The sequence below is a fragment of the Homo sapiens genome, chromosome 13 (genome assembly GCF_000001405.40).
Source record: "Homo sapiens chromosome 13, GRCh38.p14 Primary Assembly".
Classification (NCBI taxonomy): Eukaryota; Metazoa; Chordata; class Mammalia; order Primates; family Hominidae; genus Homo; species Homo sapiens.
The window spans coordinates 98304604-98327453 of NC_000013.11; the positions used below are offsets into that span (position 1 = coordinate 98304604).

Genomic DNA, 22850 nt, shown 5'->3' on the forward strand with positions numbered 1-22850 from the left:
CAAGGCGGTGACACGAGTTTCTTGCAGGCGGGCAGGTGCCATGATTTTAAGTGGTATCACCTTCGCAGACCAAACTGATGAACTGAGAAATTGTATGCGATGCTGATGTTTCTGTCTGAAGCCAAAAGACATTTATTTCTCACAGCTCATGCCTCCCTGTCTCTCTTCAACTACTAAAAAGTTGAGACCTTGTCTGAGCTGGGCATAAATTCATGCATAGAAAATTAACGTATTATCTGTCAGCCATTGGAACATGCTGTTCATATCTTTCCATTTAACCTTAAAGAATATAACAAAGCATGTGCCACAAAGAAATACACTTGAATTCTGCTTCCGAATCTTTCAGCCTCATCTGTCTGTGGTCTGTATTCTTTGTGTTGAGTAGAGAAGTATTAGGCATGGCCATAATGCTTTTAGCAAGAGAGAGAGAGAGAGGAGTGAAGGTTCACTGTAATTTGTGGTTGAAAGATGATAGGGGCTCAGTAAGAATATTTAAATGTGTATATATATATATATTTTTTAATTTATTTATTTTTTATTTTTATTATTTATTTATTTATTTTCCTTGGGGAAAATCCTTTCCTCATTCACTAACAACAACTTGTATTTGTCAGAGAGGATGTGATCCTAGTACTGGCTGCCATTTGGGTACTCATGCATTTAGATCAGTTTCCAACATTTTATCCCTCGCACTTTCAATGCCATGACGTATCTCTGAGAATTTCTTTCTTTTTTTTTTTTGAGACGGAGTTTCGCTCTTGTTGCCAAGGCTGGAGTGCAAAGACGTGATCTCAGCTCACCGCAGCCTCCATCTCCACCTCCTGGGTTCAAGCGATTCTCCTGCCTCAGCCTCCCGAATAGCTGGGATTACAGGCACCCGCCACCACGCCCAGCTAACTTTTGTATTTTTAGTAGAGACGGGGTTTCTCCATGTTGGTCAGGCTGGTGTTGAACTCCTGACTTCTGGTAATCCGCCCATCTCGGCCTCCCAAAGTGTTGGAATTACAGGCGTGAGCCACCACGCGGGCCCTGAGAATTTCCTTAATGTGAAAAGCTTCACTTCTTTAAGGACGCCTTCATCATTTGCATCACAACCTCTTTCCTCATTTCTGTCAATAATCCACCTTCACTAAGCTTCTCTGGCTGCACATCTAGAGTCTCTCAAAGGGCCAGTGTTGACGTTCCCCTGGTCCACTGTTTCTTCTAAAACTCCACTTAAGTTCAACTCAAATTTTACTTCTTGTATTATTACTTTCCCTTTTTTTTTTCTTGCACTTTCATCTTCATTGGCCAGTTTCCCTTTTCAGTTACCCATTTTTGTAAAATGTGATTCTGGGCGAATCACTGGGAGACAAGGAGGCAACACAACTCCACGCTTTGCTGTCTGTGTGGAGACTGAACTATCCATGTGCAGAGACCCATCTTCAGTAGACTATGAAAGAAGTGATGGGGTTGGTCACTGATCATGCATAACGTGCATCTGTATTTCATGGAGTGATGTGTAGACTGGACAGCTGATTGCAACGTTTGCGCTTTATGCAGTTACTTACAGTTAACTATGTTCTAATAACTGAAGTTTGCATTGTGTTGTTGGGAGACTGGTGTGATTTAACTAAACCAGAGTAACTGAAACTGGTGCATATCAACCATGCCAAGCTTAAACATATGGGAAAAGGAGAAATTGCCTGACCCACTCTAGTACCTTTTCTTACGAGGGGAAGAGGTGGGAGGGGACTAGCAGTGACTCAGCTTCTGTTGCATGCCCCTGTGCTAGACACTTTACATGTTCCATTTTGTAGGAAAGAAAACAGTCGAAGAGTTTTAGTCACTTGCTTGAATACAGTTACAAACGACAAGACTTAGAATTCAGGCCCAGGCCTTCCAGCTCCAAAATCTTTTTTATCTTTTTCTTTCTTTCTTTTTTGTTTTGAGAAAGGATCTCACTCTGTTGCCCAGGCTGGAGTGCAGTCGTGCAATTGTGGCCCGCTGCAGCCTCGAACTCCTGGGCTTGATCAGTCCTTCTGCCTCAGCCTCCTGAGTAGCTGGGACTACAGGTACATGCCACCACACCCGGCTAACTTTTTTTTTTATTTCATTTTTTGTCGAGATGAGGTCTCTCTATGTTACCCAGGCTAGCCTCGAACTCCTGGCCTCAAGCAATCCTCCTATGTTGGCCTCCCAAAGTACTGGGATTACAGGTGTGAGCCACCGTGCCCGGCCTCTAGCTCCAAAATCTGTGCTCTTTATACCATACCACTCTTGGAAAAGAAACAAAATATTGTGTTAGGAAAAGAGAAAGGAGTTAACATTCATTAAATATTGGGCTTGGGCCATGTCATTCTTATTCTTCATGACCACCCTCCCAGAAACCTATTATTGTCCCCATTACAAACGAAGAAACAGAGCAGAGCTGAGAAGCTCAACAGCTAACCTCGTCACAGCTGGCTAATTGTGGAGGGCTCAATGTACAAATGACAGGACAGAGATGAGAGGTCCCTCTTGACTCGCATGCTGTTTCTTAGGCTTTAGTCTTGAGTTTCATTCTGGCTTTATGATTCCGCAGATTAGAAAGCCGGAGAAAGCAAAGGATGAGAGGTTTACCTATGAAGTTGATTGAATGCGTTTTTCTCAGAAGGCAGTTTGGGTTGATATGAAGTCATTGATTTTTGAATTAGGTTGAGAATTTTTTGAAATGTATTGGAGGTTGAATTCTAATACCTCACACAGATTCTGTTATGGATGGAGTTGACAGAACTAATACCTAATGAAAAGTGGCTCCTCCTGAAACGCGTCCCTTGCCCCGGTTTCCCCCACCACCCCAGCCTTCCTTGACCTCTGACTTGCCCATCTCTGTCTCGTGGGCTGTGAGCTGGTATCTCCTGCCCAGCCTTGTGGGTGTCCCGAGGTGGTGTCGTGAGTCCTGTTCACACGCTACAGGCCTCGAGTCTTTGAGATTTCCACCGCAGGCTCACAGCGCGTTCATGTCGGTGCCTCTTCATCAGCTCCCTCCTTCTCCCGAGGCCACACCAAGTCTCAAGTCCCCTTGTATTTCCTGCTAAATAAATATTTTCACATCTGTTTCCTCCTGTTTATCTCTGACTCTGCTGCTTTGTTTAGATCTTTGCAATTACTAACTGGAAATAATGAAGCCTCTCCGGTCCCTTACGTTTCTGTCTTTCTCCCTCCAATATTATCTTACTCTCTGCCAGAGTTTCTAAAGCCCAAATTTGATAATGTTACTCTTTTGGAAAAAAAACTATCAGTGACTTTTCATTGCTTGCTGGATAAAGTTCTTAGTACTTAGCAAGGCACGCAAGATCGTTTACAATCTGACGGCAGCCTAGCTTCCTGCCTTATGTTCCTTAGCCCTTGAACAGGCTGCCCCTGGCCTGGACTGCCTGCCCCCCTCCGCCCGCCCCCACTCTCTCTCTTTTTTTTTTTTTTTTTTTTTTTTTTTTTTTTGCTAAATGCAGCTCCAAGGGTTTCTTGGACTGTGAAACCCACGGAATTTATCCTAGCCTTTTTTCCTCCTGTGGCTCCACAGCACATGCATTCCTTGAATATAGCACGTATCACATTTGACTTTGTTTACGTGGTTTTTCCCAAAGGATTGTGTTGAGACCTTGAGGATGATAACTGTCCTATCTGTGTTAATCAGGTAGTAGGTGTTCAGCAAATATTCAGTGAATCGATTTCAAGGTCACCGCTCTTCTCGTGCTCCCTCAGGGGCACGTGGGGCCTGAGTGCCAGGGTTATGAAGGGCGTTCTTTGTAGGTCCCGTAGCTGAGACTGACAAACGTGGTACCCCCTTAGGTGGTGCAGCGAATGCATCACCTGAGGAAGGGGAATGGACGAAGATAGAAGATGAGGTCAGAGGCTGGAGCCGCTGTCCAGGACAGCCTGACGAGCCACATGCACTGGACGGCACCTGAGACATGGCTCCTCCAGACTAGAGTGTGCTGGATTTGCCTGAGACACACTCAATTTCAAAGACTTAACAACAACAACAAAGAATGTAAGATAACTCAGTGTTTTATCTTGAAGTTTTAATATGTGTAATTTTATTTTTTGTTTGTTTGTTTTGAGATGGGGTCTCACTCTGCTGGCCAGGCTGGAGTGCAGAGGCGCAGTCTTGGCTCACTGCAACCTCTGCCTCCTGGGTTCAAGTGATCCTCCCGCTGCAGCCTCCCGAGTAGCTGGTACCACAGGCATGCCACCACCATGCCTGGCTGATTTTTTGTATTTTTGGGGTTTCACAAAAACGGGGTTTCACCACGTTGCCCAGGCTGGTCTTGAACTCCTGGGCTCAAGTGATTTGCCCACCTCAGCCCCCCACCAAAGTGCTGGGATTACAGGCGTGAGCCACTATGCCCGGCCAATAGGTATAATTTTATATTATAAAATATTAGACATAATAATTTAAAGTGATCTTTATAAATTCACATGATCTTGTTGGCAATTTTGAAATGGATCATTTTAATATGTTAAAGTGATAATATTTTGGACCTATTAGATTACATAAAATATATTAATATTAATTTTAAGAGGCCTTTTTTTTTTTTTTTTTTTTTTTTTTTTTTGGAGACGGAGTCTCGCTCTGTGGCCCAGGCGGGAGTGCAGTGGCGCAATCTCGGCTCACTGCAAGCTCCGCCTCCCGGGTTCACGCCATTCTCCTGCCTCAGCCTCCCGAGTAGCTGGGCCTACAGGCGCCCACCATCACGCCCGGCTATTTTTTTTTTGTATTTTTAGTAGAGACGGGGTTTCACCGTGTTAGCCAGGATGGTCTCGATCTCCTGACCTCGTGATCCGCCCGCCTCGGCCTCCCAAAGTGCTGGGATTACAAGCGTGAGCCACCGCGCCCGGCCAAGAGGCCTTTTTTTAAACTTTTTAAAATATGGCTACTAGAAACTTTTAACTTATATTTGTAGCTCATATTCTATTTCTCCTGGACAGAGATGGGATAGAGAGAAGCTGTAGGAAGCAGAAGAGGCTGGTGCGAGATGGGAGACTTCCATGCTTAAAAAATGCTTAAAAAAGAATAAAAAGTGGAACGAAAGGAGGGAGGAGTTGCCATATTTGGCAGAACAAGGAAGGCAGAAACTGCCAAAAACAGCAAACGCCGTCAAGGCACTGTTGAGGGGTTAGGTGATGCGGAACTGTGCCTGTGTAGGCAACAGCCCCTTACCCCAAACGGACAAACTCGAAACGGTGGGTGAACGCTTGCATTGTTTTCCCTTGTGACAAAGCCATTCCCGTGCACTTTAACACAATGGGAGATACAGCAAAAAGGGGAAAATATATTCCGCATCTGTAATCCTGGTCTTCAGAAGTAATCCCCATACACTTGGGATACTGTCCTCTCTCCGACCTCTTCCTCTGTCTGTGTGCGTTGATGTCTGGTTTTTACGCCGATGGGACCATCCTCTCTCTCTCTATTCCTCCAATCTGCTCTTTTGTTCCACTTAATAGATTACATGTTTTTTTTTTTTCCCATAATAGGCTTAAGTGTAAGATAATCTCGATGGCCTTCAGGGAAATAAAGACACAGAATGACGATGACTTCCACAGTGCAGCTTGCTTGCCTCCCCTTCCCGACGGCAGCTTTGACAGTCCTAGACCGGATCCCATCACTCCAGAGAGGCAGGTCGCCTCTGTGCCTCCCCAGGAATGGTTCCTTTGGTGGAGTTTCCTAAATACCATGGCTAAACCCCTCCCTCCTCTGAAGGGTTATAGCCACAGCCTGAAATAAATCTGTACATCAGTAATTAGGCATCACAAAGATGACACAGACATCCTCATCATCCACACAGCTGTGCTTATGCCCAGGTGCATCTGCCTTCATGTGGCCCAGAGCACATTAGATTGAAGAATTTGAAACTAGGAATTTAAATATTCCAATCTTAGTGAAATTTTCAAAAATGGCTATTTTGCTAATTTATAAAGTCTGAAATGTGGAGGTTTCGAGTTGACATTTGGAGATGGGGTAGATATCAGTTACAAGTGTGAACACTTGGTAGATTTTAGAGGATGGGATGAAACTCGTGGGCTGTCCAGTTGAAGGTGTTGTGTGACTGGTGGTGGTGGGTGGTGGTGGGTGGTGTGGGCCAGGATGTTGATTTGTTTCAAAGAGTAACTTTATCCCCTAAGAAAGACAGTATTTTTGAGTACACTCAAATTGTTTATTGAGATTTGATTTTATTTGTCTTAAGTTTCCTGTTGGAGATGAATCTCAATATATCCTTCCTCCTGCCCCCTTGCAGAGAGAAGCTCTTTGGAAATGCAGGGTCAGAGTCCCCTTCCCCATTACCTAAGAAGGAGAGGTCAAAGGGCATAGCAATAGCATTCCCAGAAATTGTTAGGGTTCATGGAGCAGGAAACAGGCTCTATCTGTGGGAAGTTTGTGAAAGGCAAGGGAGGTAGTAAGGAAATTCAGTGGAAAACTGGGTTAAGGACCTGTTGCTTCTTAGTAATCATTAACTTCTTAGTTACAGCAGAAACAATCACACTTACAAATTAACAGCAGCACCACTCTTGATTGAACTTTCACTGTGGCCCTGGTGGCCTAATGTATCTATTGTGATATTTTTCATGTTTACTGCAAACCTGCAAGCTTCAGGAAGTTATCCTCATTTTGCACATGGGAAACTGAAGCCCAAAATGATCAGTACTATGTCAAAGTCCCATGGCTAAGGAATGACTGAGTGGGATTTAATCCCAGGTTTTTTTTGTTTGTTTGTTTCCTCTCCCAAAGGAAAGCAGTTGCCAAAGTACTAGCAGGTCTGTGTGTGACTCCCTCTCCCACCTCCAGCCCTGGTTTGCTTCCTGTTAGGGCAATGAATTTTGGCCTTTTAAATATTTTAGTATCTTTTAATTTCATGACATACTCTCTTCATCCTTTCCTGCCAGTTGAGAGCAAGGAAAATCGGCAGATAGCAAATCAGGGTGCTGTGTGTGTGTGTGCATGTGCGTGTGTGTGTGTGCACACACGTGCACACGTTGGGAAAGTGGTGGCTTTTCAATGCAATCCCAGCCGTATTCTGGTTGGTGGCCCTTTCTTACACTTTAAAAATCTTATCCTTCTGGAGAAACTTTAAATAAAGTAAGAGCCTTTGAAATTCTCCTAGAGAGAACTCGTACTTTCAAAAATAAACTTTGATGAGCAGGAATGGCTACCGTAATGATGGGTTTGCCTGCCTGCAATGTAACTGCTGTTCTTTTATTTCGTTTTGTTTTTTTTTGTTGTTTTTTGTTTTTTTTTGAGACGGAGTCTCGCTCTGTCACCCAGGCTGGAGTATAGTGGCACGATCTTGGCTCACTACAACCTCCGCCTCCCAGGTTCAAGCAGTTCTCCTGCCTCAGCCTCTGGAGTAGCTGGGATTATAGGCACCTACCACCATGCTTGGCTAATTTTTGTATTTTTTTAGGTAGAGACAGGGTTTCACCATGTTGGCCAGGCTGGTCTTGAACTCCTTACCTAAGGCGATCTGCCTGCATTGACCTCCCAAAGTGCTGGGATTGCAGGTGGTAACTGCTTTTTTTTTTTTTTTTTTTCTTTGAGACGGAGTCTCGCTCTGTCGCCCAGGCTGGAGTGGAGTGGCGTGATCTTGGCTCACTGCAAGCTCCACCTCCCGGGTTCATGCCATTCTCCTGCCTCAGCCTCCCTAGTAGCTGGGACTACAGGCGCCCGCTACCACGCCTGGCTAATTTTTGTATTTTTAGTAGAGACAGGGTTTCACCGTGTTAGCCAGGATGGTCTCAATCTCCTGACCTTGTGATCTGCCTGCCTCGGCCTCCCAAAATGCTGGGATTACAGGCGTGAGACACTGCGCCCAGCCAGTAAATGCTATTTTTAAGGTGGTCATAGCTCAGTTTGCAAGGTGCATGTTTGTGCTTCAAACTGTAAGTATTCAAGATAGAGAAAAGATGGATTTATTCTAGCATTTCAGTTTTAATTTTGATGATACAAGAAATTCATAATGCTTCCCCCCCCACCGGAAAAGAGGTCAGTATAGCTCAGTGGAATAATTAGTACACCCAGCTGGGGCAGAGCTGTTTTTTAAAACTAGGAGGCTTTAGAAGATGGGGACATTATTTATAAGAAAAAATTTGAAGCATCTCTTACATCAGTTTATAAGCCTCTCCTGCATAAGAACCATCACAACAGAGCCGCGGCGTTTTCTTGAGTCACTATAGAGGCCGTGTGCACAGGGCGCTCTGCCTTCTCCCTCAGCTGGGCTCACTGGCTTACCCGAGGTCTTTACAGTGCGGCTTCTGACTTTATCACAGACATAATTTGGCTAAAGAGGGCAGGAGGAGAAGTGGGCCAGGGTTTTCTTTCATGGGCTACTCCAGAAGTCAAGCTGTTTTAGGTTGAACTGTGCTCCCTCCAAAATATGTTGAAGTCCTAAGCCCTGTGAATGTGACTTAATTTGGAAGCAGAGTCCTTACAGATGTAATGAAGATGTAAGTTAAAGTGAAGTCACTCTGGAATCGGGTGGGTCATAATACACACACACACACACACACACACACACACACTCACTCGAATCGGGTGGGTCATAATACACACATACACTCTGGAATCGGGTGGGTCATAATACACACACACACATACACTCTGGAATCGGGTGGGTCATAATACACACACACACACACACACACACACACACACTCTGGAATCGGGTGGGTCATAATCCTCCCCTTCCCCCAAACACACACACACACACACACACACACCTGCACAAACGTGCAGGCCCAGGGAGAAGGCCGTGTGATGATGGGGGCAGAGACTGCAGTGCTGGAGCCACAAACCCAGGAGCGGGATGCCAGGGCTTGCCAGCGCCACCAGGAGAGGCATGGAGCAGATTCTCCCAGAACCTTCAGGAGGAACCGGCCCTGCTAATGCCTTGACCTTGGACTTACTGGCCTCCTGAACTGTGAGAGAATAAACTTCTGTTCCTTTAAGCCACCCATGAATGGACCTTTGTCCCTAAGAAACTGATACTCAAGCCAGCTACCTAAGGCTGCTGTTGGACTTACTCTCTATGATAGCTAAGGCTCCCCTCGCAGCCCCAGCTGAAAGATTTTTGCTTTGGTCTGCTAGCCTTTTTAGCATGAGTCTATCGTCATTCCTTTAGAGAAAAAAAATGCGGAAGAAGTAACATGGCACAACACTGGGAAGGGATCATAGGGAAGGACCTGCCAGCCGCCTCCTCATCTCGGCCCGCTCTTTGCTCACCTCCTCGCCCCACAAGAGCGCCTGTGATAGCCCACTTTTAGGAAAGACTAGACTTCGAGAAAAACCCACCACCTTGCAAGTCATCATCATCTAAACAAAGACTGGGTTTAGGATGAGGGTCCCATCCTCACGGCTCACTCACCGTTTGGCAGGTTGCCAAGGCTGCCCAAGCTACAGGTCCCTCTTGTGTAACACGGATTGAGCTGGGTCCAAGCTCAGGCATGTAGGGAGAAGAACGTGTGTGCGGATGGGTACAGGTGCAGGCAGGGAGGCTTGGGGTTGAACACTAGATCTTACGTCAGTGTTTGACATGGAGCCAGTGTTATAAGTCACATTCTTCTTGGTGAGAAAGTGAAAGTAGCAAACATTTTCCTGAGATCCTACTATATACCTGGCATTCTGCTGGTTAGCAACATTTATTATATTTTATGTCTTTTTTTTTTTTTTTTTTTTTTTTGAGATGGAGTCTTGCTTTGTCGCCAGGCTGGAGTGCACTGGCGCAATCTCGGCTCACTGCAACCTCCGTCTCCCGGGTTCAAGCGATTCTCCTGCCTCAGCCTCCCGAGTAGCTGGGACTACAGGCGTGTGCCACCATGCCCAGCTAATTTTTGTATTTTTAGTAGAGACAGGGTTTCACCATGTTGGCCAGGATGGTCTCGATCTCTTGACCTCATGATCTGCCCGCCTCGGCCTCCCAAAGTGCTGGGATTACAGGCATGAGCCACCGTGCCCAGCCTATGTCATCTTGTTATTCATTTTATAATTTCAAGACGGCTCAAAAAAGAAAGAGGTGGGGAAATGTTTGTGGTGGAATCCTGGGTAGTTTGACATGACAGCAGAATTTGCTTAAAGCAAATTAAATGAAATCAGCCAGGCCCTGCAAATTGCTGTCTCCTTTTTGAGGCAATTAGACCCCACGAATAACCCAGCTCTTGTGGTCCTGCGGGACGCATTTCCCAGAGCACCTCTAGGGAAATAGGATGAGCCAATTAAGGAAGAGAGGGGCAGACCGATTGTCCTTATTGTATGTATGTATTGTTGGGAGGAGCTTTGTGTTTGCTTGGGACTCGGATTGAAGATAGCAGATGGTTCAAAGACTTGGAGTGGAGAAGGTTGGAAAAACACCAGGACCCTGTGTGGGCGAGAGAGAAGCTAAAACACCCAGAGCTGGGAGGCCAAGTCATGGATGGCCAACAGGACAGCGCTCCCAGGGCTCCTTAAATGGCTCTTTGGGCCTTCTCAGATGGTTACACAATAACAATCGACTGTGAGTTAAAGATGAAATTTTGTTCATTTGTTTGTTTTTTAAAACAGGGTCTTGCCCTGTCACTCAGGGTGGAGTGCTGTGGTGTGATTCTGGCTCACTGCAGCCACAGTACACCTCAGCCTCCTGAGTAGCTGGGACCACAGGCACATACCACCATGCCCAGCTGTTTAACGTTTTTGCTGAGACAGAGATCTCACTATATTGCCCAAGCTGTCTCGAACTCCTGGGCTCAAGCAATGCCCCGCCTCTGCCTCCCAAAGTGCTGGGATTACAGGTATGAGCACCCCTCCCAGACAAGGATGAAGTGTTTTATGCGAAGATGGTCCATTAAACCAGCTGATGTGTTATGATCAAGCACTTATCTAAATTTTCCTGAACTTTACAACTCAAGTTACTTGTGCCCGTTTGTCTCCACTCCTAAAGGAGTTTCAGGAGATAGATGTGAGAACAGGTGGCCTTTCATGAAAGTGCCATGTGCAGTAGGAAAAACCAGGCTGTGTCTGGGAAGGCTGAGGAGTGCAGCAGTGGGTGGAGACGGCCGTGCTTAGGAGCTCACATCTGCTCGCTCTTCCTTCCTTCGCCTCGTGGTGTCCTGGAAAACAAAAGATGCAGAGGAGACTGTGAATGCTTGAGTCACTGCAGTGAGGAGACTTCAGAATTCACTGGTGGTTTTCTGAGTCCCAGCCCAGCAGTAAGAGCAGTCGGGCAGTAAGAAATTTCTTGCCAATTTCGCTTCCAAAGGTGAGTTACAATTGTGATCCTCAAATAAAATAGCTCCTAGAACTTCACATTTTTCAGCGTCTTATTGTCATTGATAATCTTCAGTGGTTTCAGATGTTCAGGCCTCTCCCTCCTATGGACAGTATCACCAGTGCCTTCCAACAGTGACACTGAAGTGCGGCTTATGTCATGGACCCGGGGAATGCGGAGGAATCTGTCACATGAGACGGTTTCGGCTGGAGTATGTCAACCCTCATGGTTGCTGTTGAATTTGTTTGTGAACATTTGACTGCAGGCTGCTCTCATTCAGTGTGTGTCAACCCTTGTCTCAGGAAGGTGCTGAGCTATTTTTAACAGTAGAGTGAAGAGCTACCGCCTTGGCTCGAACCAGCTGTCCCCTACTCTCAGATGTGGACTCCCTAAAAAAGTCATAACACCATTAACAAGCAAAACCCCTAGCCAACAGGGGGTTCCTGTTGGCAGTCAGGCACTGCTGGAAGTTGTTTCCTTGTGAAAAACTATTTAATCTCCATGAGAATCCTGCTAGGTAGTTCTTGGATCATCCCAAATTTTGTAGATGTGGAAACAAAGGCATAGAGAGGTTAAAGAACTTGTTCCAGGTCACACAGCCCATGCGTGGCAGATCCTCTGCAGCTCCTGGTGCACCCTGCAGACACAGGACCCGGAGCCCCCTCCCCATCCAGGTGAGGCCCATTGCCCTGGAGAGCTCAGCCTCCAGCAGCCATGCCTTTGGGGTCCCACCTCTTTCGCCTTGGGGGTCTCCCAAGTCATCTTCATCCTTGCGTTGTAACACAGCTAAAGTTTTTATTTGTAACTAGTGGATGCCAGAACACTGCGTTGCAAGCATGTGTATAGCTTTACCCAGTGATTCCGTCATGGGGAGATTTTGCCGAAATGAGTCTTGTCCCCTTCAGTTGGTTTGAGCAGCCACCGCTGTGATGGAACCAGAGATAACACCAGGCCTGACATTTGAGGGTGTGTGTAGGTAGGTTCTTTGTGAAGAATTAACTCCCGCTCAGAAGCAACCAGTTGGAAAGCAAATAGGGGTGCTTTTCACATCCCACTTTGGTTACACGTTCTCAGTAGGTTAGGAAAGTTTAGGAAGGAACACCTGTGAGGCTGATTCTGAAATCACCCCCAGAATTACAGTTTTTGCAAGTGTAGGGCTTCCTTTTGGAGAACAAGCAGCTCCATGCTCAGCACACAGACACACACAGCCATGTGGAGTGCAGGGCGACTTCTCTCTGCTTCCAGCTGCCACTCCCTATTTCTAGCGTTGCTGCCAAGAAGATGGGTTATTAGTTTGGCCAAAGCTAATCCTAAAGGAAATTGCAGGTACCAGAGAGAGAGAAGGGAGAGCAAGAGAGATTTCAAACATGAAATCTCATTTTTAAAAATTGCATGTGTGGTTTTGTTTGTTTGATTTTAGAGCTGGGGTCTTGCGCTGTCACCCAGGCTGGGGTGCAGTGGTACGATCATAGCTTACTGCAGCCATGAACTCCTGGGCTCAAGGGATCCGCCTGCCTCAGCTTCCTGAGTAGCTGGCACAGCCACTTGCCCACACAACTAGCAAATGAAACCCCATTTTGGGTGGTCTCCTTCCTTGTTTTGAACCGGAGGCATTGACTCCATAAGTATATTTGAAAATGGAAATTTGTCCTGACGACAAAATCCCCTTCCTTATAGTCCAAGACCCTTTCCAGCTGAAAAGGTGATTGGTTGCTATCCACTTGTTATCCAAAGAAGGTAAAGATGGGGTTTGAGTTTTTAATTGATTCCCCTCTGTCTTTTGCTGTAAGTGGCTCCATACCACTTAGGTGGGGCTGTCATAACCACACGTCACTGACTGGATGGCTTAAACAACAGAATTGTATTTGCTCACAGTTCTGGAGGCTGGAAGTCCAAGATCAAGGTGTTGGCCAATTCCAGTCCTGGTGAGGGCTCTCTTCCTGGTTTGCAGAGGGCCGCCTCCTTGTAGTGTCCTTTCATGGCAGAGAGAGAGCAAGCAAACTCTGGTGTCTCCTCCTCCTTTCTTTCTCTCTCTCTCTCCCTCCCTCCTTTCCTTCCTTCCTCTCTCCTTCCTTTCCTTCTTTCCTTCCTCTCTCCTGCGTTTCCTTCCTTCCTTCCTCTCTCCTTCCTCTTCCTCATCCTCCTCCTCCCTCTTCATCTCCTTCTTCCTCCTCCTCCCTCTTCATCTCCTTCCTTCCTTCTCCTCCTCCTTTTTTTTTTTTTTTTTTTTGAAACAGGGTCTTGCTTTGTTACCCAGGCTGGGTGCAGTGGCACAATCATGGCTCACAACAGCCTCAAGCTCAGCTCCCACCTGAGCTTCCCAGGTAGCTGTGACTACAGGCATGCACCACCACACCTGGCTAATTTTTGTATTTTTTTTTGTGGAGATATGGTCTCCCTGTGTTGTTCAGGCTGGTCTCAAACTCCTGAGCTTGCAACCTGCACACATTGGCCTTCCAAAACACTGGGATTTCAGGCATGAGCCACCACTCCCGACTATCTCTTCTTCTAAGAACGTGAATCCTATTGGATCAGGGCGGCATCGTTACGACCTCATTTAACCTTAATTGCTGTATTTCCTTACTTTAACCGTGGCCACACACAGGGTTAGGACTTCGACCTGTAAATTTGGATGGGGCACAGTTTAGTCCATAGCAGTGTCAAAGCTGCCATCTCACTTAATCAGGGAAGATGTGACCAAGGATGAGAGCCACAGGCTGCCCTGAGGCACCCTGGCATCTCCCTGGTAGAAGTGGCCATTGCTTTCCAGGGCTGCCGCACTTTCTCCATTTGACCTTGCATGGCGCCAGGTTGGGAGGGAGAGCTGGTTGCCCAGACTGCCACCACCCCACCCAGCAGTCTGCCTTCTCTTTGATGTCTTTTGCTGTCTGCCCTGTCTCTCTGGAGCTCCTGGCCCCTCCCTCCTGTTGTAGGCAGTAGGCAATGGGGCTGCCCTCACTTGTCTGTGTGCCTGGTGGCGTTTGTATCTTTCTGGAAAGTATGCGTGTTTCATTTATGCATCTGTGTGAAATACAAGACATATATGTCTTCATATGTACCTGTTGCTTCCTTTGGAGCTTAGTTTTTTCTTGTTTTTTTTTTTTTTTTTTTGTTTGTTTGTTTTGACAGGATCTCATTCTGTTGCCCAGGCTAGAGTGCAGTGGCAGGATCTCAGCTCACTGCAGCCTCGGCCCCCTGGGCTAAAGCAGTCCTCCCGCCTCAGCCTCCCAAGTAGCTGGGACCACAAGTGTGCACCACCAGCCCCGTCCAGTTTTTGTTTATTTTTTGTAGAGATGGGGTGTTGCTATGTTGCCCAGGCTGCTCTCAAACTCCTAGGCTCAAGCAGTCGACCACCTGGGACTCTCAAAATGTTGGGATTACAGGTATGAGCCACTATACCTGGCCTGAAACTTTGTTTTTAAATAGTAAAATACTTGGAAGGGAATAATATAATTTATTATAGAAAATAATCAGTTCGTCAGCCAGGTGCAGTGGCTCACGCCTGTAATCCCAGCACTTTGGGAGGCTGAGGCAGGCGGATCACAAGGTCAGGAGATCGAGACCATCCTCGCTAACATGGTGAAACCCCGTCTCTATTAAAAATACAAAAAATTAGCCAGGCGTGGTAGCAGGCACCTGTAGTCCCAGCTACTCTGGCGGCTGAGGCAGGAGAATGGTGTGAACCCGGGAGGCGGAGGTTGCAGTGAGCTGAGATTGCGCCACTGCACTCCAGCCTGGGCAACAGAGCAAGACTCTGTCTCAGAAAAGAATGAGTTCACAGCCTCCATTTATCTCTCTTCTTCCCCTTCATAAATGTATATGAAATATAAACCCACAGTAGAGCATGTGGATTCTTATTTTGTCAGGATCAAATTGTTTTTATTTTCCTCAAATAACTTGGTATAATCTGCCATTCTAGTAGATTTATAGCAAAACCAAGTCCAGTCTTTATCTTTGAAATCTGGATACCTACAGTTGCTGGGGGAAAAAAACAACAGACTTTTTTTTTTCTTGAAAATAAGTTGGAAAAAAAGTTAAAAGTGTGTTTCTGAATTAGGTATTACTTCTTCGGTTATAAATGAAGAACAACCTTGAGGTAACTTAAGCAGAAAAAGGAAATTGATCCTCACATTATGGGGGTGTCTGAAACACCCGGGGTGGAATGTAGCTGAGGATGGTGAGGTTACGTGAGCCAGGCCTGTGTGGTCAGACACCCTGTCTGTTTTCCTCCCGGGCTAGCTCTTCGGTGCCTGCCGTCTTCCCTTCATCTGCAGACCTGCATGCTTAGTGTCTCCAGGCCTCTTGGAAGATGCCCATTCTCATACGTGGGCCTGGAGTCAAGGCTCACAAGGAGAGAGAAAATTATTTTATCAGTTGTAGTTCCAGGTTCCTGAAAAGGTACCTGATCGGCCCAGGTGTGCTCAGGACTCCCTCTGTCCCTGCCCCCTACTCTCCGTACAATCTGGATGTGCGTGTCTTGCTGCCAGGTATTCGTACTATTATAGTTTTACCCAGTTTGCCCGTCACCACTTGGGAATAACACCTGTGCCTGTCCTCACCTATGTGAAGCTGTAGTTTCAAAATCATCTTTGGATGACTAGAATGAACTAGAACCAAGAACAGGTACTCACTTCTCCTTTAACCTCTTTATCCCTAGCAGCAGATAACATAACACCTCATGGAGATACTAAGGTGGTTTCTTAAGTCAGATAAGAATGAACAGATTTAACTTGCTTTTTTGGTATCCATGGACACCTTAGACTGTTAGAAAACTCTCAGGATTTGTTGGAATTTAAATTGTAAACAAAACTGTTTTAAAGCATTTATTCTGAACACCTCCAACAATGGTATCTTCAACAGTGATCTTCAAACTGGATACCATTCTTATCTTCTTTTCCAAAAAGCCTCCCAAAGGTTGGGCCCTGTGGGTTGATATGAGCTGCCAGACGAGATCCGGTTTAGATAGACACAGTTAGACAATTGCTGTTGTTGGCATGTTCAGGATTAGAGCCCTATCTCCTCCGAGTCACTCAGAAGGCCCGGAAATCTAAATGTAAAACTGGAGCTGTTGTTCACTCCCCGAGAGACACCTCCAGTTTGAGAAGGTGCAGGTGACCCTCGCAGGTGCCTTTCAATGTCTGTGACTCACGAACTGGGAGTCTTTGGGTTATGGAAGAAGAACGTGATGGTAACTTGTCATCACCACCTTTGACGTTGTTTGAAGCTATGATGTGTGAGTGTCCCCATGGCTGTTGGTCTTATTCAGCCATTGGATTCAGACAAACCCTCCAGGACTCTTGGTCTTTCCAGAAGAGCTGAGCTGTCACCACTGACCTTGTGGAATGGAGGATCCCACTCTCTCTTTTCGCTTGTATCCCCTGTGACCGAAACTGAGGATCCCATTTGTTTCTGTGGAGTCGTGGAGAAACTCAGCCGGATCATCTCATGGCCAATGAGTTAACTTGTTGAAAGTCTTGAGTCCAGGCTTGACTAAAGCACACTTGAGTTACATATCAAAGCGTGAAGTTAAACCCACGCTTAGACAAATGGTTGTGTCTGAAAAAGGTTCTAAGAATTGAAAACAGCTTCAGGGAAAGGACAAAAATCACCATCTGATTATCCAGGGTTGTGGTATGTCATGCTCTTTAAGTGACAGATAGACTGCTAGATTTATGGCCAAAGTAGCAATACCAGAAGACATTCCAGGGGGATGATGACCTGATGCCATTGCAGAAAAGAAACACTTTAATATGGAGGCAGAGACAGAAGGCTCTGTGACAAATTACCTGTGCGTGCTAAACGGGTGCTTCTTCTGTGAAATCAGTTAAGGGAAGCCTCTTGGCCTCATATGACTTTTGTATTTTAGCTACTTAGTCATTAAAAGAAAACCATAGCTCTTTGAGCATTGTTATTTGGAAATTTTATGGAATAGAAAAATGTTTGATAATATTAATCATCTGAGAGAATTTGATGTCACCACCTTCCAGCCTGGGCTTTGGATTTGAGCAAACTTGAGTTGAAATCTTAGATCTGCCACGTAATAGCTGGGGCAGTTATCAACCTTCCCTGCTCTTCAGTTTCTTCCTCCAGTACTTCCTGGTGGGGTTTCTGTGAGGGTTAAAATGGGTATTGTTTGATTGAAAAGTACCTAGCACAGGGCCAGGAGCGGTGGCTCACGCCTTTAGTCCCAGCACTCTGGAAGGCCGAGGCTGGCGGATCACCTGAGGTCAGGAATTCGAGACCAGCCTGGCCAATGTGGTGAAACCCTGTCTCTACTAAAAATATAAAAATGAGTGGGTCATGGTGGCAGGTGCCTGTAATCCCAGCTACTCCGGAGGCTGAGACAGGAGAATCACTTGAACCTGGGAGGCAGAGGTTGCAGTGAGTGGAGATTGCACCATTGCACTCTAGCTTGGGTGACAAGAGTGAAACTCCGTCTCAAAAACAAACAAACAAAAAAATGTGCCTGGCATAGGACTTAGGAGAGAGTCAGCACCACCTGAAAGGCACTCCAGGAAAAATACTGGCAATGTGAAGGATTGTTAGTGACATGATGCCACTTCCAGGGTGAACACCAGCCTAGCTCCAGCCCAAATCCACATGCTTCTGGGAGCACTGGGATTTGGACTGCAGTTCATCTTGCTTGCAAGAGCCACCATGCTGCACCATCATCCCTCTCACTTGTCAGTGCTCCTTAGCCGTCAGTGCTCCTTAGCCGAGTACAGTTCTGACTGCCATGCGACCAAGACCCGGAGCTTACATGCTCCTTATTGGAAACAGAAGGAAAACTCTTGTGTGATAGGAAGAAGGCACTGAGTAGAGGCTGTTCCCCGGGAATTATCCAAGAATCACAGCTCAGCCGAGGACTTTCTGGTACTGTGCATTTCAGATTTTAAATTTCACGGTTATAATAACCATCTTGCACAAAGGCAGCCGAAACCCAACCAACTGAAAACACGGGCACACACATACCGTATATACCACGCATACATGCATGTCAGCCACACACAGATGATTTGCCTAGAAATTTGTTTCTCCAGACCTTTTGGCAGAATAGCTATTTGTCATGGGAGAGGGAGGAAAATATTTGCATTCGTAATAGGAAGAGTTTATGGTTGTGAATAAGCTCATGTTTGAAAAAACAGTAATATTAGATATATGGTTGCTGGCACTACACAATTGCAGGATGTAATAGTGGCTACTAACATTAAACATTACTTAAAATTACATGCATTATAGAAATGGGGATATTTATCTCATGTTTAATGATCCGTGGTGAAAGGATTTGTTGCTTACAATCCTTAAAATGATCAATATATTATTTTAACACTTTTAAAAGGGAGTTGGTTTTTTGGTTGTGAGTTAGGAGCAGTTGTCATGCACATATTTTATAATAAAATTTTAGATTTGTTGCCACAGTTTCATTAATATATTTAAGCAGGTGTGCCCAGGTAGTGGAATCAGAAAGGCAACTCGATTTTATTTAAAATATGGTTCAAGTGGTCTCTGTAATGAGAAATTCACATGGCTTTTTTTTTTTTTTCTAATGAGTTTCCTGCTGGCTTCGGAGATGTGGTTGTTTACAGTAGAAGTATTTTTTTTTTCCATTTGAGGCTTCCATTATTATTATAAGATCAATAATAAATACACTGAATTTATGTCTGTTAAATATTTTTAGCCTGCTCCTAACACATGAAAATATTACATACCTGTTTTGATCTATTTGTATTCTGTTCCTTCCAAGTTTTTCTATTTTAAAGGAAAATTCTTGAAGGCCACCTTTTAAGGTTTCTCTAATTGGCACATCTCTGGTCATTAACTTTTTACTTTTAAAGGAGAGCAGAAAGACAGATTGTAAAAACAAAAAGTAGATATCTAGTTTATTTTGCTACTTGATAAGAAAAAAATCTCCAATTCTTGCATACTATTTGCAGTTAACTTTATTCAGCCTTTAGAGGAAAATGTCTCTTCCTTTCCAGAATTCAAGCCCCATAATTTTGTCTTCCTGTTGAGTGTCAACAATTTTTTTAAAGCCTATATGAGGAAGCTAACTTCCGAGCAATTAAGTACTCAAGAACCAGAATTGAATTTAGTCATTTTTATATTTATAACTAATACACATTTTGAGTTTCATCACAACTTGAACTATGTCTGAGGAGTTGCACATGAAGGATTTTATTACTTGATTAATATATTAAATGCACTAGGAAAATTTCCTCGTAAAGTTTCATTAAAGAGTTAAGATAGTCCTTTATTTCATGCGTACATTGAAGTTATGTATAATGGTGGCTGTGAAATGTTTTCTAAATTTCAGGTGGCTCTTGATTTTCTTTGTGTTTTCATTTGTGGCTTGGAAAGAAAAACAAAGGTCAAGTTACTCTCATCCTTTATCACCCAGTGTTTCATGAAGGAAGCCTCATTTTCATGAGGAAATCTTGGCGTGTCTACTCCAGCTTGTGTATTTTGGCAGTATGGAAAAGCGAAACACGGTTCCTGCTGCGCCCACTGCTTTTTGTGTAAGATCTATTTTGTATTGGGTAACCTTGGCATTCAGTGTTTTCACATTTAATTCGTAACTGTCTGCAAGTTGTTATGAAGCTGAAATTGATGATCCATCAGTTCAGTCTAAAGAGCGTGTTGGAATCATGATTTGATATTTTCTGGAAAGAGTTTACTTTTTGAAAGGATGCCCTTAGCTCTTTTTCTAATGTCTTCAGAAGAAAAAAAATGGTTTACTATTTTCAGAAAAAAAAGGCGATGTACTCACTGGTCTATTTTCTGTGATCAAAATGTGTTGACCACCTACCCCTGGTGTGTGTTTCTGAGCGTCCTTGGCAGCCTCTGCCTTCACAACCATTCTCTTTTCAAATTCCTCTCCTTTTCCCTTTCCCGTTTGTGCTAGTAAAGACTCTTGGAAGCATCAGGCCCTGATGAGCTGAAGCCCCCATTCCAGGGGTCTTTGGCTGCTGCATTTCTGACTTGAGCCACACAGCGAAGACCTTCTGACCTATGGCTTCTGACCTATTGGCCTTCATGGCCCATGGCTGCCTTCCGAACTATTATTTATGGTGGGCATTGAGGGATTCTGTTTGTTGGCCATGCCTTAATGCTCTGTTTTTTGAGGCCTTAACACAGTAGTTGAAATTTCTTGGCCAAATTGGATAGAGAATGTGAAATAGATACTGTAGAAGCACTTCAGAACACTCTGTCATGAACTATGGGATAATAATGAAGACTTCCCAGACTGACTGGTAAGTAGTCCGTAAGGAAGACTTGTGGAAATAAACCCTGAAAAATATGGTTTATGCATTTGATGTTGGAATAGAAGAAATTATTTTGTTTCTATGTTTCAACAGCCTATCTTTCCATGAGTATTGAAAACAGTGCTTCTATTTTTTACATTATTGGATTCATCTTTACACTCAAGTGATTACTAACTTGGTTAATAAAACTGTTGTGTTTTCCTTTTCTTTTTTTGTCTTTGTCACGGCTCTCTATCTCATATGTTCTGTTTCTGGTACTCTATCATCTGTACGACACTGCTGAAAGTGAAGGCTCCCACCTGACGCCCCAGCTTGCTGATTAAATTTAGGTTAGGCTGATGATTTAAGGAGTAAACCATCTCACCAGCACTGTTCCAGTTCTTCACTGGTGAACCAATGGTAATGTCTGGGTTGAGAGTTACAAACTGAAATCCAGGAGAAATGCTGATCTTCCCTGTCTTGCTAATCTACCTTGTACTGGAACCCAGAATCAGGTTCCTAAATTCTAGATTACACAGCCGTGACAGAAGGCATTGAGAAATCAGAGAGGCACATACTTCTCCAACACATACTCAGGTTTCCTCAAGAATATTTGTCATAATATTTGTAGCTTGTCCAGTTTGATCTGCATGGAGTTGTCATAAGAAAGTCTTTGTGGCTGAGGATTTGGTAAAATGCAGCATGCTGGTGAGAGTTATATCTCTTGTTTAAAACAAAACAAAACCTGAAACAACCAGGGCCTGAAAGCCGCACTGTGTTCCCAAGACTCCGCAACAGCCACAGGGCATTTTAGCAGAGAAAACAAAGCTTGTTTTATAGCTTCTCTTCATAGGTCTCCCTGACAGGCTTAGAGGGACATTGAGTGAAAATGGAGCTGTTAATGATATAATAAATGCTTCTGAAATTTTTCTATTGGGCAATCCCTCAATAGCTGACTGCTTTGAAAAATGAATGAAAATCAAACATAAAGACACAAATGGCTTCGTCTGCTTGGTAATGAATAAACATATGCAAAAGGACAATCAGTTGCAGGTGTGTTGCCTGTCTATAGTGTTTTGTTTCTGCTTTTGTGTTTGTCTTCCAAGCAATTAATAAACCAGCCTGGCCTATAATATCGTTCTGGAAACATTCTTTTTCACAGGCTCAGACTTGGAGATTTAGCCTTAATGCTTTCTTTTCTTGTTTTAGTTAAAAAAACCCACCTACATAAAATTTACCACCTTCATCGTTTTTAAGCATACAGTTCAGTAGCTTTTCGTATTTTCACATTGCTGTGAAACAGAGGTCCAGAACTTTTTCATCCTGCAATCTGAAACCCTATTCCCACTCAACAACTTCCCATTTCCCCCTCCCTTGGCCCCTGGTAAGCACCATTTTGTTTTCTGTTTCTGCGAATCTGTTGCCTGATTTCTTTTCCACACGTGCTGGTTCCTGCATCTCCTCTCCTGATTCACTACAATTGGGACTAATCATGCCTTTCAGGAGGAGAGAACAATATGTAATTTTCACAGTGGTTTTTATAAAATAGAGTACCTGGTACGTGCCCACTAGGATATGCAGCTCCAATAAACTTTTCTGTTGGCATAATTCTTTAGAATATGTTAAAGTCATCTCACGTAGTTGAGGAGTTAGATGGTGAAGGCAGATCTAAGCTTTTAAAACTAGATCATTTTGCTGCCTGTGTCAGCTAGAATTGAGTCTCAACTGTCCAATTCCTAGGCAAACCTCTGAACTCATCTTCTTTTAGGGCATGTATAATTTTTGACAGATGACAGATCTGTTTTAAAAATGTGCTTATTGTCCTTTGGTATTTTAATTTGATTTGTTTTGAGCACTCATGTTATTGTTTATAAATGTGGGCCAAATGCATTTAATGAGTACACGCAATTGGTAGAATACTGTCGCTCTGAATAACCTTAACTCTCTATGGAAGGAGACACACTCCATTTTCATTTGTGTAAATTCTTTGCTGTAGGTCACCACTGTAGATTCACATTTCGAATGCTGTCAAATCATAGAAGTATTAAAAAATATTTGTTTTTAAAGATGGCTCTTATTGCTTGCATTGCTTTTTCAGAAACCTCTCTCTGTTTTCCAATACGGCTTTTATGTCAGTGCTGGTATTAGGTCACTGTAGGCTGCCCATGTCACTAAATTTAGTTTATAATTTCACAGGATTTTTTTTAAAATGTGTCATCGAAACCCATGTTTCTTAGTATATATCTTACATTTGCCTTCAATTTTCAAACAGCTAACTTTTGCAGTGATGATACCTACATAAAAGGGAATTATCATTAAAACGGTGCTTGTTAGGATGGTTTACTTTAAGATA

The 22850-nt window shown here is 44.3% G+C and overlaps 1 protein-coding gene across 2 annotated transcripts in view, besides 2 other annotated features; it reads left to right on the forward strand.

Annotated features, from left to right (window-relative positions):
• The window catches only part of FARP1 (FERM, ARH/RhoGEF and pleckstrin domain protein 1), a 312588-nt gene that overhangs the window by 162015 nt on the left and 127723 nt on the right, over positions 1-22850 (forward strand). The window lies entirely within an intron of this gene.
• Positions 8832-9126: a silencer, noted in NCBI's record as "tiled region #11603; HepG2 Repressive DNase matched - State 14:Gen5'". NCBI's record gives its function as "represses a minimal TATA promoter and a strong SV40 promoter by Sharpr-MPRA in HepG2 cells {active_cell/tissue: HepG2}" and the evidence as "EXISTENCE:reporter gene assay evidence [ECO:0000049][PMID:27701403]".
• Positions 11150-11792: an enhancer, noted in NCBI's record as "H3K27ac-H3K4me1 hESC enhancer chr13:98968007-98968649 (GRCh37/hg19 assembly coordinates)". NCBI's record gives its function as "activates a minimal SCP1, AML or CMV promoter by ChIP-STARR-seq in primed H9 embryonic stem cells {active_cell/tissue: H9 hESC(primed)}" and the evidence as "EXISTENCE:reporter gene assay evidence [ECO:0000049][PMID:30033119]".